Here is a 12,952-nt window from a genome sequence, read left to right on the forward strand (position 1 = left end):
CCCAGGCTGGAGTGCAGTGGCACGATCTCGGCTCACTGCAACCTCCGCCTCCCAGTTCAAACAATTCTCTTGCTTCAGCCTCCTGAGTAGCTGGGATTACAGGTGCCTGCCGCCACACCCAGCTATTTTTTTTTTCCTGTATTTTTAGTAGGGACGGGGTTTCACCATGTTGTCTAGGCTGGTCTCGAACTCCTGACCTCAGGTGATCCACCCATCTCAGCCTCCCAAAGGGCTGGGATTACAGGTGTGAGCCACCGCACCCAGCCTCGATGTGTAACTTTTAAATAGACTCATGGGATGCCTTCATTTTTCCTCTGGTCCCTGGATCCCGCTATGGGAGAGCCTGGATGGGACCAGCAGAGTCTAGGAGGGTAGGGAAAGGGCTGTATGAGGAATGTTTGGGGAAAAACAACTTCCAAGCTCCCGCCAGCAGGGTGGACGGGCCAGCCCGGAGTGTGTTCGATGGAGCCAGGGTAGCAGATACTGTGGGTCCCAGAGAAGGTCTGAGACAGAGCTGAGGGAGAAGGTCTCCCCCAAGGGGCTGGGTGTGAGTTGGTCCTTAATATGGTGAGGACAGATCCAGTGCTAAACAGTGAAACATGTCACCTCCTTTAACGTCACAGCCACCTCTCTCATTTTGGGGTGAGTCAGCTGAGCCCCAGAGAGGTTACATAGCTTCCTCAAGGTCACACAGGCGGTTGGCGGTGAAGCTGAGTTCCAGATCAGGTCTGTGGGATTTGGGAAGCCATGCTCTGCTCTGCCCCCGAGAAAGCGGTTCTGGAAGGAAAAAAGAGAGTTCACATAAACCCAGGGATGGCGCTGCCGAAGAGGCCAAGTGTGAGCAAAGGCTGGGGGCGGATAAAGGGCAGAGGAGATTTGGGTGGGGGTGGAACGAATCTCCCAGGACACTGAAGCACCTGCCAGGGTGGGGATCTCCGAGGACCGTGATGCTGGAGGGAGAGGAAACTGACCACTGAGGGTCTCAGTCTGGCCTCTCCTTGCCATCTGGCCGTAGAATGACCTTTCTGAAGTGCAAGCCTGGCGTTGCTCCTCCCTCACTCATGAATCTGCTGTGGCTCCCCTGTTCCTGGCCTCAAGCCTGAGCTCTGCCCCCTGGTGCTGTCACCTGGGTCCCTGTCCTGACCACCTTCTGCACACATAGTGGCTGCAGCCCCAGGAGTCAGCCAGGAGGTCTGCCCATTGTCCGGCCTCATCTCTGTCCAGCTGTGGAGGCTGGCTCCCCCCGCGCAAAGCAGTGCTAAGCGTCTGCAGGAAATGGGACAGCGCTGTTGGGGGAAGGGCCTCAAAGCCCCAGGGGGAGCCCAGCTCTTGGCCTTGTGTGACCCCCTCAAATCTTCACCTCCTCTCACCCCTGCAGCCAAGGAGACAGGGCGGGCCCATCTGATCCTCTGCCCAGCTTCAGGAAGGTTCTTGCATGCATGTGTGGACACCGCCGCTTGCACTTCCAAGCTGTCCACAGGGCCCAAGACTCGGAGTAGGAAGCAAAGCACCCCAGGCTCCCAGCTAGGACGCTGCAGGGCTGGACTGTGGTCATCCTCCCCTGCCCAAGATTGCCTTCCCTCCTCCCTCTCCACAGCCCCTGGGGAAAGGGGACTCACCAGGGTCAGCTCAGTCCTGGCAGGAGCCTCCAGGTCCCCTCCTGGCTCACAGCTGAGCTTTGAGGGCCAGATCTGGGGACAGGCTGGCTAGAGCCCTCACTGCCTGGGTGCCCAGAACTCCCAGTCTGAGGCCACCTGCCTGGGCACTAAGGAGGGAGAATTAGCATAGGCCCCTGCTCACCTCGCCCCGCCCTGCTCCACCCTGTCTCCACTTTGCCTGGCCCAGACATGGCTGTCTCGAATTTCCTGCCTGAGTCTCCTCTGCTCTCCTGCGCTTCCTGCCTCTGCCTCCGGCCGCTGTTTCCTGCGCATACCCCCTTCTGTGGCCCGGGGTCCAGATCAAACCTGACATTTCTTCTGAAATGCCAACTGGCTCTAGGCCCTGCTATACATGTGCGTGTGCATATGCAAGTGTGTGCATGCATAAGAATGAGTGTGTTCATGTGTGTGCATGTTCTGTGTGTACACATATGTGCACGTGTGTGCATGTGTAAGAGTGTACATGCATGAGAATGTGTGTGTGCGTGTCCAGTGCGTATACACATATGTGCACGTGTGTGTGCTTGAATGTATGTGTGTGGGTATTCGTATCTGCTACGGTGTGTACACACAGTGTGGAGGTGGCTCGGGCTGGGCTGAACCTCAGAGGTTCCCACGAAGGCACGCTCTTCTTAGCCTGGTCCTGGCATGTCCTGAAGACCCACGAGGGGCAACTGTCCTACCGGAATGGCAGAAACAGCCCGACTCTGGCTTTGGGCTCAGCCAAGGGTGGTCAAGGTGCCATTGGGGTCCCCCAGCTTCACTCGTCACCTCCCTAAATCCAAAGCGCACCCTCCCAACTCTGTCTCTTCCAGTCGGCTGTGAGCGTCCTGTGTGCCAGGTCACGTCTGCGTGCCCAGCTCAGGCCAGGTGCAGAGCAGATGAATGACTGCAAAGGAATCACTGGCACAAGGCAGGACATTCACGGTGGGGGCGTGGCTTCTTCCCTGACACTGGCACATAGCAGGACATTCACGATGGGGGCGTGGCTTCCTCCCTGACACTGGCACATGGAGGACATTCACGATGGGGGTGTGGCTTCTTCCCTGACACTGGCACAAGGCGGGACATTCACGACGGGGGCGTGGCTTCTTCCCTGACACTGGTACACGGTGGGACATTCACGATGGGGGCGTGGCTTCTTCCCTGACCCTAAGAGGCCATGTTGGAGGTTATGGGCAGGGGCAGGTGGGAGCCAAGACTGGCCTACATCAGAACAGCAGCCCCCTCCCCACTCCAACCCTCCACGCCTGCAGTTTCCACCACCCCCGAGATTTCTGGAACACCTCTCTCCCAGACCGGCTTTATGGATTATATAAAAAAAGAATTTCATGAGGTTTTCAGTTAATTGAATTCCAGGGAGATTTATTCCCAATGTTATTAATAAATTCTAATGCCACCTATAACTTTCAATTGCCAGTTAATTAACTTGCAATGGGTGCATTGTAAAAGGCAAATTAAATACTTTTTCAGGCAGGGGCTGGCAAATTTAATGAGCTGATGTGTCCCAAGGGAGACGGCCGGGCTCACACATCCCATCAAATACTCCTCCCATCAGCAGATGAGAGTGTGATCTGGGTGAGTGACAACTGGACCTCCGCATCCTCATCTGTAAAAAGGGATCACAAAACCTGCCTCCAGGACCCTCAGATACCTGGAGTGGATGCTGTGTTTTATTCATACACAAATACAACGAAGGGGCCCTGGGGCGGTGAACTTTATGTGTCAACTTGACTGAGCCATGGGGTGCCCAGACAACTGGTCAAACACGCCTGCCCTGCCCAGCCCAGGTCAATTCATCTGGTCAGTCTACAGGGGATTGGGGGCAGGCCAGCCTCTGCCTCCTTCTGAGTAGAGAACAAGGATGGCAGTAAGGACGGCAGGGAAGACAAGGAGCAGGGGATCCCAGGGAGGACCACCGGGCTCACTGGAGGGAAGAGAGTCCTCCCCTAGGAAGGGACACAGCTGAGGAGTCTGAGAGATTTAGTAGGAGTTGTCTGGGTGAAGGAGAAGGCAGGGCAAGTTGGGGAGGCACGAGCACGTGCAAAGGCCCAGTGGTATGAGAAGGGGAAAAGCACTGGAAATTGTTGGAAATGCTCTAGGGTGGAGCCGGCAGGGGAAATATGATAATGTGGGCTTATTACAAGGCTACAGGGATCTCAGTGGACCCCAAGGACAGGAGCTGGAGTCAGAACAGGTCCCAAGAGAGTAGTACTGGATCTGAGTTAGTCCCAAGGCCTCAGTGTCAGCAGGAGATTACTGATTCCCATGGGCTCTGCCTGTTGCCTGTTTGTCCCTCTTCTTGTGGCAATGTGACATTTTGTCTTGGCCTCATAGCTTCAGCATGCTCATGACTTCTGCTTCTTCTGATGGCTTGCCATGACCTCTCACTGGCTATCCTTCAACAGCAGTCAGCTTTGCAGTGACACAATATTCAAACTGGGTGTCAAGCACCTTCATTGTCTCCCCAGTGACCCAGCACGCAGGCTCCCTAAAGGTAGAGTTCTCAGGCAGTACCTGGTGCTGTAACAAATATCCCATTGACCTGGGGGCGACATTTCTCACAGCTCTAAAGGATAGGAAGTCCAAGATCAAGGTGCCAGCAGATCCGGTTCCTGGTGAGGGCTCTCTTTCTGGTTTGCAGATGGCCGCCTTCTTGCTGTGTCTTCACATGGTGGGGAGAGAGAGAGGAAGCAAGCTCTGTTGTGTCTCTTCTTATAAGGACATTAATACCATTATGAGGGCCCCACCCTCATGAACTCATATAAACCTAATCACCTTTCGATGGCCCCACCTCCAAATGTCATCACAATGGGGATTCAGGCTTTAACATACAAATTTTAGGGGCACATAAACAAGTGGTCTACAGCAGTAGAATGCCTTGTCCTTGTAGGCAGACAAGGACAGACCTCGGTCTGGTCTCCCCTAGGCCTAGACACAGATACTTGATAAGGAGGGAGGATTCTAGGGAACCAAGGTCAGAAGCCTCATAGAGCAGGAAGTATGGGTTTTGTGGCCTGTTGATGGCAGAAGCTTCTATCTTAGGCTTAGAGTCTCCAGCTAGGCTCTTGCTGGGAAAACAGTGCAGTCTTTGCTTTCTTTTATATCAGAGCTGCATTTTCAAACGTAACCATCCCACACCCACTCTCCAGCTATTCGAGGACTTTGATGACAGCCCTCCAGTTTCTCAGGATGTAACAGCAGCAAATCACTGTGCACTTTCTCACTTGCTGCCCATGATCCCCCATGCTCCAACCACCGGGCAGGCCCATATTGGGCATGAAAGGATCTTGGCCTTAATTTTTCTTTTGCCTCGTGGCGATAAAGGGAGCATTTTGTTTTTTTCAAAAGACAAAACCAAAAGGTGCATCTTAATTAGGGAACAGGTGCAGTGAGACCAGACTGAACTCTGCCAGGCAGCAGCCTTTCACTTTGTGCGCACAATGCTTTTAATGCAGCCCCGTTGCCATGGCGATTACCATGTCTCAGCTTACTGAGGTGGCGTTGCAAACCTGTAGGGAAGAAATGGATTATTCAATAAATGATGCCGGGACATTTGGTTAGCTATTTGGAAGGAAATAAAATTAGCTCTTTCCTTCACACCATACATTAATATAAATTCCAGAGGACCTAAAGAATTAAATGTAAGAAAGGGAAATCATTAAAAAGCAAACAAATGTTTGATCTTGGGGGTACATGGAAACATTTTAAACCTAAAAGCAGTAGAAAAAATAACAAAGATTAAGGTAGAATTTAATACATAAAATTTAAATCTCCTTGTTTTAAAAATTATTTAGTTAATTTTATTGGGAGACTACAAAAAAGAATAAAATGGTTGCAAGAAATATGACAAAAGATTAATACCTCTAATATGTAAAAAGTAATTACAAATCAATAAAAATGAACAGTCCAATAGAAAAATAGTGAATGAGAAATGCCCAAAAGATGAAATAAAAATATGTAATAAAATATTTTTAAATATTCAGCTTCATTGGTCATCAAAGAAATGCCCATTAAAACATCAATGAGATTTTCTCCTATAGCTTATCAAAGAACGTTTAAATATAATTATAGCATTCAATCTCATTGAGTGGAGTAAAATTGAGTATTCCTATTCATCTCACATGTGAAAATACAAGTTGGTATAAAATTTCTAGGAAAAAAATTAAGTTTATGCCACAAGAGATTTTAAAATGTTCACACTATTCAGCTGGTAATTTCACTCCGAAGATATCCTAAGGTGCTGTCCAGGATTGAAGCCAAAAATGTAGATATGATAATATTCATTATAAGTATTTAATAGAAGTTTATAATTTACTAAAACACGTGGGCATGGTTAAATAAATTATGATACATAAATATGATGAACTATTGTGCAGCCATTAAAATAATATTTTGAATAATACTTAATGGCATGGAAATATGTCTATGACATAATATTAAGCGGAAAATAGTATACCATTTGGGTTTCTTAGCTGACAGCAATAGAAACCCACTCTGGCTGTCTGGATAAAGCAGAAAAGGAATTCATTGGAAGAAAATTGTAGGGCTTGGAATCAACAGGAACACAGGAGAACTAAACTGAGAAAGAAAGAAAAATAGAGAAAGAAATAGAGGAAGAGAGAGAAAGCAAGGAAATATAGAGAAAAGAAAGAGAGAAAGAAGAATGAAGGAAAGAACCAAGGAAGGAAGGAAAGGAGCAAAAAGGCAAAACAGGGCAAACATCCATCAACAGCTATAGTTACGGTACCAAAGTAGACATATGGTATGATCCCAAGTCAAGGCAAAATTGGCTATTCAGAAATACCAAATTCATCCCGGAATCTCAGTGCTTCAACCCTTGCAATGTTTCCTTCTTACTCACACAAAGTAAGTACTTACCAGGTTGGGCAGCCTGTCACCATCTTGTAGCCCAGCCATTGAAAGAACGTAGGCTCTGAGACTGTCACAACAGGGAAGACAGAGATGGAGGAGTCTCCATGCGAGTGATGCTGTCATTTCTGTTCACAGTCCATTGGGCAGCACTAGTCATATGGCCCCCAACCTCACTGCAATGGAGGCTGGGATAAAGAAGGCAGTGAGCCAGTTGAGGCTGCAATTTGAAACACATGGTACACTTAATTTAGGATAATTTGAGGAAGATTTAATTTCAAGGAGACTATTTTCAAAGGTGTGGGTGGGCTGCAGAAGAACCAGAAGGGAGAATGGGAGAATGTGATGAGCTAGGGCTATTAACAGCCCAAAGAGACGAGGGTCAGATTGGATTTTCAAAATCTCAACTATATGCTGTTTATAAGCAGCACATTTTGAATAAAAGATCACTATAGAAGATTTGAAGCATACAGTTATCCAGCTTCACCCAATGGACAATATATAGAACACACGCCTACCAATTGCATAATATGTGCTCTTTTAAAGTGTACATGGAACATTTTCCAAAATAGACCATATGCCTAGCCATAAATAAATCTCAACAAATTTCAAATGATTAAAATAATAAAATATGTTTTCTGACTACATTGAAATTAAACTAGAAACTAATAACAAAAAAAAATAGAAAATATCCCAAACCCTTGGAAATAATCCACATTCTTTTAGATAATTCAATATGTCAAAGAAGAAATCACAACATAAATTATAAATTCATGGAAATAAAAATGTAACGTATAAAATTTGTGGGATGCAGTTAGCACAGCTCTTCTAAGAATATTTACAACTTTAAATGAATATGTTAGAAAAGAAAAAAGGTAGAAAATGAATGATCTATGCTTTAATCTCAAGATGCTAAAGAAAAAACAGCATATTTAGAAAAAGGAGAAGGAAAACTAAAGGAAATAATAAAGATAATGGCAGAAATGAATAAAATCAAAAGCAAATGTATAGAGAAAATTTAAAAGCCACACATCGATTAAGATTAATAAAACTGATAAATACTTAGCAGGCTGGATCAAGAAAAAGAAATGAGAAAACATAAATTAGCCATGCCAGGAGACATCACTACAGATCCCCAAGACTTTCATGATACAGCAAAAGGATATTGTCAACAGCTTTATGCCAATAATTTAAAAATTTAGATGAAATGGCCGGGTGCAGCAGCTCACACCTGTAATCCCAGCACTTTGGAAAGCCAAGGTGGGCAGATCACAAGGTCAGGAGATCGAGACCATCCTGGCTAACATGGTGAAACCCCGTCTCTACTAAAAATACAAAAAATTAGCCAGGCATGATGGCGGGCCCCTGTAGTCCCAGCTACTCGGGAGGCTGAGGCAGGAGAATGGCATGAACCCAGGAGGCAGAGCTTGCAGTGAGCCGAGATCATGCCACTGCACTCCAGCCTGGGCGACAGAGTGAGACTCTGTCTCAAAAAAAAAAAAAAAATTAGATGAAATGGATAAATTCATTGAAAAATACAATGTACTAAAATCATTATAAGAAAAAATAAAAAATTGATATACTTTTATATCTGCTAAAGAAATTGAATTCATAATTAGAAACATTCCCACAAAGAAAACTCCAGCCTCAGATTGCTTAAGTGATGAATTCTACCAAACATTCAAGGAAACTCATAGAGACAGACAGACAGATAGTAGATTAGTGGTTGCCAGCGGCTGGGAAGTATTTGCTTATTCTAGACATGTTATATCAATGGAATCATACAATATGTGGTCTTTTGTGTCTGGCTTCTTTCATTTAGCATATTTTAAAGATTCACCCATGTTAAAAACAAATAAATAAAATTTTATTCATTTTTATGGCTGCATAATATTCTACCATATAGATAAACCAGATTTTGTTTATCCATTCCTCAGTTGATTGACGTTTGGGCTCTTTCTACTTTTTGACTATTATGAATAATGCTACTATGTACATTTTTGTACACGTTTTTGTGTTGACACATGTTTTTGCTTTTCATGGATAGCTATCTTAGAGTGGAATGGCAGGGCCATTTGGTAACTCTCTGTTTAGCTTTTTGAAACACTGCCAGACTATTTTCCAAAGTGGCTGCACCATTTTACAATTCCACCATCAATGTATGAGGACCACAACCTCTCTATATTCTCATCAACACTTGTTATTGCCTTTTTAAATTTTAGGCAAATTAGTGAACATGAAGTGGTAGGTCACTGTTTTGGTTTGCATTTTCCTAATGACTAAGAATACTGAACATCTTTTCATGACTTATTGGCCATTGTTTATCTTTGAAGAAATGTCTCTTAAAATCCTTTGCCCACAACAGACCTCTACCTCCCACCATATAAAAAAGTGAACTCAAAATAGATTATACACCTAAATGTGGGAGCTAAAACTATAAAACGCTTGGATGAAAACATTGATATAAATCTTGGTGACCCTGGATTAGGCAACTTGTGGATTGAAGTTCTAATTGGTATGTTTGCATTTTTACTGTTGAGTTGTAACAGTTCTTTGTATATTCTTGATAAAAAGTCCCTTATCAGGTATATGATTTGTAAACATTTTCTTCCATTCTCTCATTCTGAGGGTTGTCTTTTTACTCTTTGATAGTACCTTTAGAGCACAAAGGTTTTATTTTTGAGAAACTCCTATTTATCTAATTTTTCTTTTCTTTCTTACATTTTGGATGTCACATCAAATAAACCATTGCTTAATCCAAGGTCATAAAAATTTACACCTATGGTTTCTTCTAAAGGTTTTGTAGTTGAAGCTCTTACATGTAGGTCTATAATATATTTTGAGATAGTTTTTACATGGTGGGAAGTAGGAGCCTGCTGTGGGTGGAATTGCGCCTCCATCAAAAGATATATTAGAGTTCCAGCTCCCAATACCTGTAAATATTACCTTGTTTGGAAATAGGGTCTTTGTAGATGTAAACAAGATAGGATTGGACCTATATCCAATGACTGGTGTCCTTATAAGAACACCATGTACAGGGATATAGAGATACACAAGAAGAATGCCATGTGCCAATGGAGGCAGATATAAGAGTAAAGTGTCTGCAAACCAAGGATTGCAAAGTATATACAAGCCAGAAGCTAGGAAGAAGCAAGGAAGGATCCTCCCCAAGAACCTTCAGAGAGAGCAAGGCCCTGTTATGACACCCTAATTTTGGACTTCTAGCATCCAGAACTGTGTGACAATAGATTTCTTTGCTCTTAAGCCACACGGTTTAGAGTAATTTGTTATGGCAGTGAGGAAACTAATAGGGGATCCAACTTCATTCTTTTTCAAGTGGATATACAATTGTCTCAGTCTTTTGTTTGAAGAGACTATTCTTTCCCCATTGAATAGTCTTGACACCCTTGTTGAATATCAGCTGACCGTAAGTGTAAGTGTTTATAGCTGGACTCCAATTAGATTCTATTGAGCTACATGTTTTGTTCTTATACCAGCATGACATTGTCTTGAGTATGGTACCTTAGCAGTTTTGAAATTAGGAAGTATACATCTTCCAACTTTTGTTTTTCTTTGTCAAGATTGTTGTGGCTAGTCCCAGTTCCTTGTATTTCCATAATAATCTTGGCATTAGTTTGTCAATTTCTACCAAAATAGCCAGCTGAAATTTTGATAGCGATTGATCAATTTGGGGAGTATTGCTATCTTAACAATATTAACTCTTTCAATCCATGAACATGAGATGTCTTTCCATTTATGTATTTTATTTAATTACTTTCAGCAATGTTTTATAGGTTCCCACATAAAAGTCTTGCACTACTTTTGTTAAACTTAATCCTAAGTATTTCCTTCTTTTTGATGCCACTGTAAATGGATTTGCTAAAACTTTTTCAGGTGGTCACAGTGGCTCACACCTGTGATCCCAGCAGTTTGGGAGGCCAGGATGGGAGGAACACTTGAGGCCAGGAGTTTCAGACCAGCCTGGGCAATATAGTGAGATCCGTCTCCATAAAAAATTTAAAAATTAGCTAGGTGAGGTGGCAAATGCCGGTAGTCCTAGCTACTTGGGAGGATGAGGTTCAAGGTTTGCTTCAGCTCATGAGTTTGAGGCTGCAGTGGGCTATGATTGAACCACTGCACTCCAGCCTGGGCAGCAGAGTGAGACCCTGTCTCCAAAAAAAAAAAAAAATAAACAAAATAAAATGAAATATTTTCAGATTGTTTATTGCTAGTCTATAGAAGTAAACTTGAATTTTGTATGCCAACCTTATATCCTGAAACTGCTGAACTTGTTTATTAGTTCTAATAGTGTGTGTACATATTCTTTAAGATTTTGTATATACAAGTTCTTGTCATCTGAGAATAGAAATAGTTTTATTTCTCTTTTTCCAATCTGGATGGCTTTATTTATTTTTCTTGCCTAATTACTCTGGCTAGAATCTCTAGTACAATGCTGAATAGAGATAGTGAGAGAGGACATCCTAGTTGTGTTCTTGATTTTAGGGTAGAAACATTCATACTTTCTCCATTAAATATGATGTTAGCTATGGGTTTTTTGTAGATGCCCTTTTTCAGGTTAAAGAGGTTCCCTTATATTCTTAGTTTATTGTTTTGTTTTGTTTTGTTTTTATCATGACAGTGTGTTAGATTTTATCAAATGCTTTTTCTGCAAATTTTGAGATGGTCCTGTGTGTTTTGTCCTTTCTTCTATTAATATGGTGTATTACTTTGATTGATTTCAGATGTTAAACCAATCTTGCATTCTTGGGATGAATCCCACCTGGTGGTGATACATAATCGTCTTATATGTTCCTGAATTTGGTTTTCCAGTATTTTATTGAGGATTTCCATCTATGTTCATAATGGATACTGGTTCATAAATTTCCTTTCTGGTGATGTCTTTGTCTAGTTTTATTATCAGGGTAATACTGGCATCATAGAATGAGTTGGAAAATGTTCTATTAGCTCATATTTTCTGGAGGTTTTGTGAAGAATTTGAGTTTATTATTTGTGTTAGTCCATTTTCACAGTGCTATAAAGAACTACCTGAGACTGGGTAATTTATGAAGAGGTTTAATTGACTCTCAGTTCCACAGGCTTACCAGGAAGCATGACTAGGAGGAGGCCTCAGGAAACTTATAGTCATGATGGAAGGCAAAGGAGAAACAAGCACCTTCTTCACATGGTGGCAGGAGAGAGAGTGAGGGAAGCAGGAAGTGCCACACAATTTTTTTTTTTTTTCAAGACGGAGTCTCACTCTGCAACCTCCGCCTCCTGGGTTCAAGCGATTCTCCTGCCTCAGCCTACTGAGTAGCTGGGATTCCAGGCACATGCCCAGCTAATTTTTATATTTTTAGTAGAGACACGGTTTCACCATGTTGATCAGGCTGGTCTCAATCTCCTGACCTTGTGATCTGCCGGTCTCAGCCTCCCAAAGTGCTGGGATTACAGGTGTGAGCCACTGCACCTGGTTGAGAACTCACTCAATATCATGAGAACGGCAATGGGGAAATCTGCCCTCATGATCCAGTTACCTCCTATCAGGCCCCTCCTCCAATTCAACGTGAGATTTGGGTGGGGACACAAATCCAAACCATAACATTCTCTGCATTTTTGGTAGAATTCGCCAGTGAATCCACATGAGCCTGTGTTTCTATTCTCTATTTTATCTACTTCACTCCAACAGATACAGGAGCTAGAAAGAAATTATTTAGGAAGATAGTGAGGGTAAGAGAATCCTAGTGTAGCAGGACGAGCCACAGACAAAACTCCTCAGACACTGAGTTAAATAAGGAAGGGGTTTATTCAGCCGGGGGCATTGGCAAGACTCCTGTCTCAAGAGCTGAGCTCCCTGAGTGAGCAATTCCTGTCCCTTTTAAGGGCTTACAACTCTAAGGGGGTCCACATGAGAGGGTTGTGATCGATTGAGCAAGCAGGGGGTACGTGACTAGGGGCTGCATGTACCAGTAATCAGAACGAAACAGAACAGGACAGGGATTTTTACAATGATTTTCCATACAATGTCTGGAATCTATAGATAACATAACTGGTTAGGTCGGGGTCGATCTTTAACTATCAGGCCCAGAGCATGGTGCCAGGCTGTCTTCCTGTGGATTTCACTTCTGCCTTTCAGTTTTTACTTCTTTCTTTGGAGGCAGAAATTAGGCATAAGACAATTATGAGGGGTGGTCTCTTCCCTTACTAGGTAAGGTTTCCTTTTAATAAAAAGCAGCCCCCAAATAATTTCTTTTCTAACAAAAAGCAGCCTGAAAAATCAAGCTTCAAGCATAGATAAGCAAGCTCAAAGCGTGCATAGGTAAATGCCAACAGCTGTGCCAATAGAAAAGGGACACCTGGAAGCTAGGTATATTCAACATGGAGGTTCCTTCTTCCCTTTTCTTTGTTGCCACATGTGTAGTAAA

The 12,952-nt window shown here is 43.6% G+C and overlaps 1 long non-coding RNA gene across 3 annotated transcripts, besides 2 other annotated features; it reads right to left on the bottom strand.

Annotated features, from left to right (window-relative positions):
- Positions 1 to 444: 444 nt before the first annotated feature.
- On the bottom strand, positions 445 to 6,696 carry LINC01007 (long intergenic non-protein coding RNA 1007). 3 transcript variants are annotated; one of them, NR_103749.1, is made up of 3 exons: positions 6,540 to 6,696; positions 4,176 to 4,323; positions 445 to 777 (listed from the first exon to the last, which is right to left on the bottom strand). It is a non-coding gene; the product is annotated as a long intergenic non-protein coding RNA 1007 (long non-coding RNA). The 3 variants fall into 3 exon arrangements; NR_103748.1 differs by lacking the exon at positions 445 to 777 and having other exon boundaries at positions 2,996 to 4,323; NR_103747.1 differs by lacking the exon at positions 445 to 777 and having other exon boundaries at positions 2,996 to 5,170.
- Positions 1,550 to 2,412: an enhancer, noted in NCBI's record as "H3K4me1 hESC enhancer chr7:101207140-101208002 (GRCh37/hg19 assembly coordinates)". NCBI's record gives its function as "activates a minimal SCP1, AML or CMV promoter by ChIP-STARR-seq in naive H9 embryonic stem cells {active_cell/tissue: H9 hESC(naive)}" and the evidence as "EXISTENCE:reporter gene assay evidence [ECO:0000049][PMID:30033119]".
- Positions 2,413 to 3,274: an enhancer, noted in NCBI's record as "H3K4me1 hESC enhancer chr7:101208003-101208864 (GRCh37/hg19 assembly coordinates)". NCBI's record gives its function as "activates a minimal SCP1, AML or CMV promoter by ChIP-STARR-seq in primed H9 embryonic stem cells {active_cell/tissue: H9 hESC(primed)}" and the evidence as "EXISTENCE:reporter gene assay evidence [ECO:0000049][PMID:30033119]".
- Positions 6,697 to 12,952: the final 6,256 nt, after the last annotated feature.

The sequence above is a fragment of the Homo sapiens genome, chromosome 7 (genome assembly GCF_000001405.40).
Source record: "Homo sapiens chromosome 7, GRCh38.p14 Primary Assembly".
NCBI lineage: Eukaryota > Metazoa > Chordata > Mammalia > Primates > Hominidae > Homo > Homo sapiens.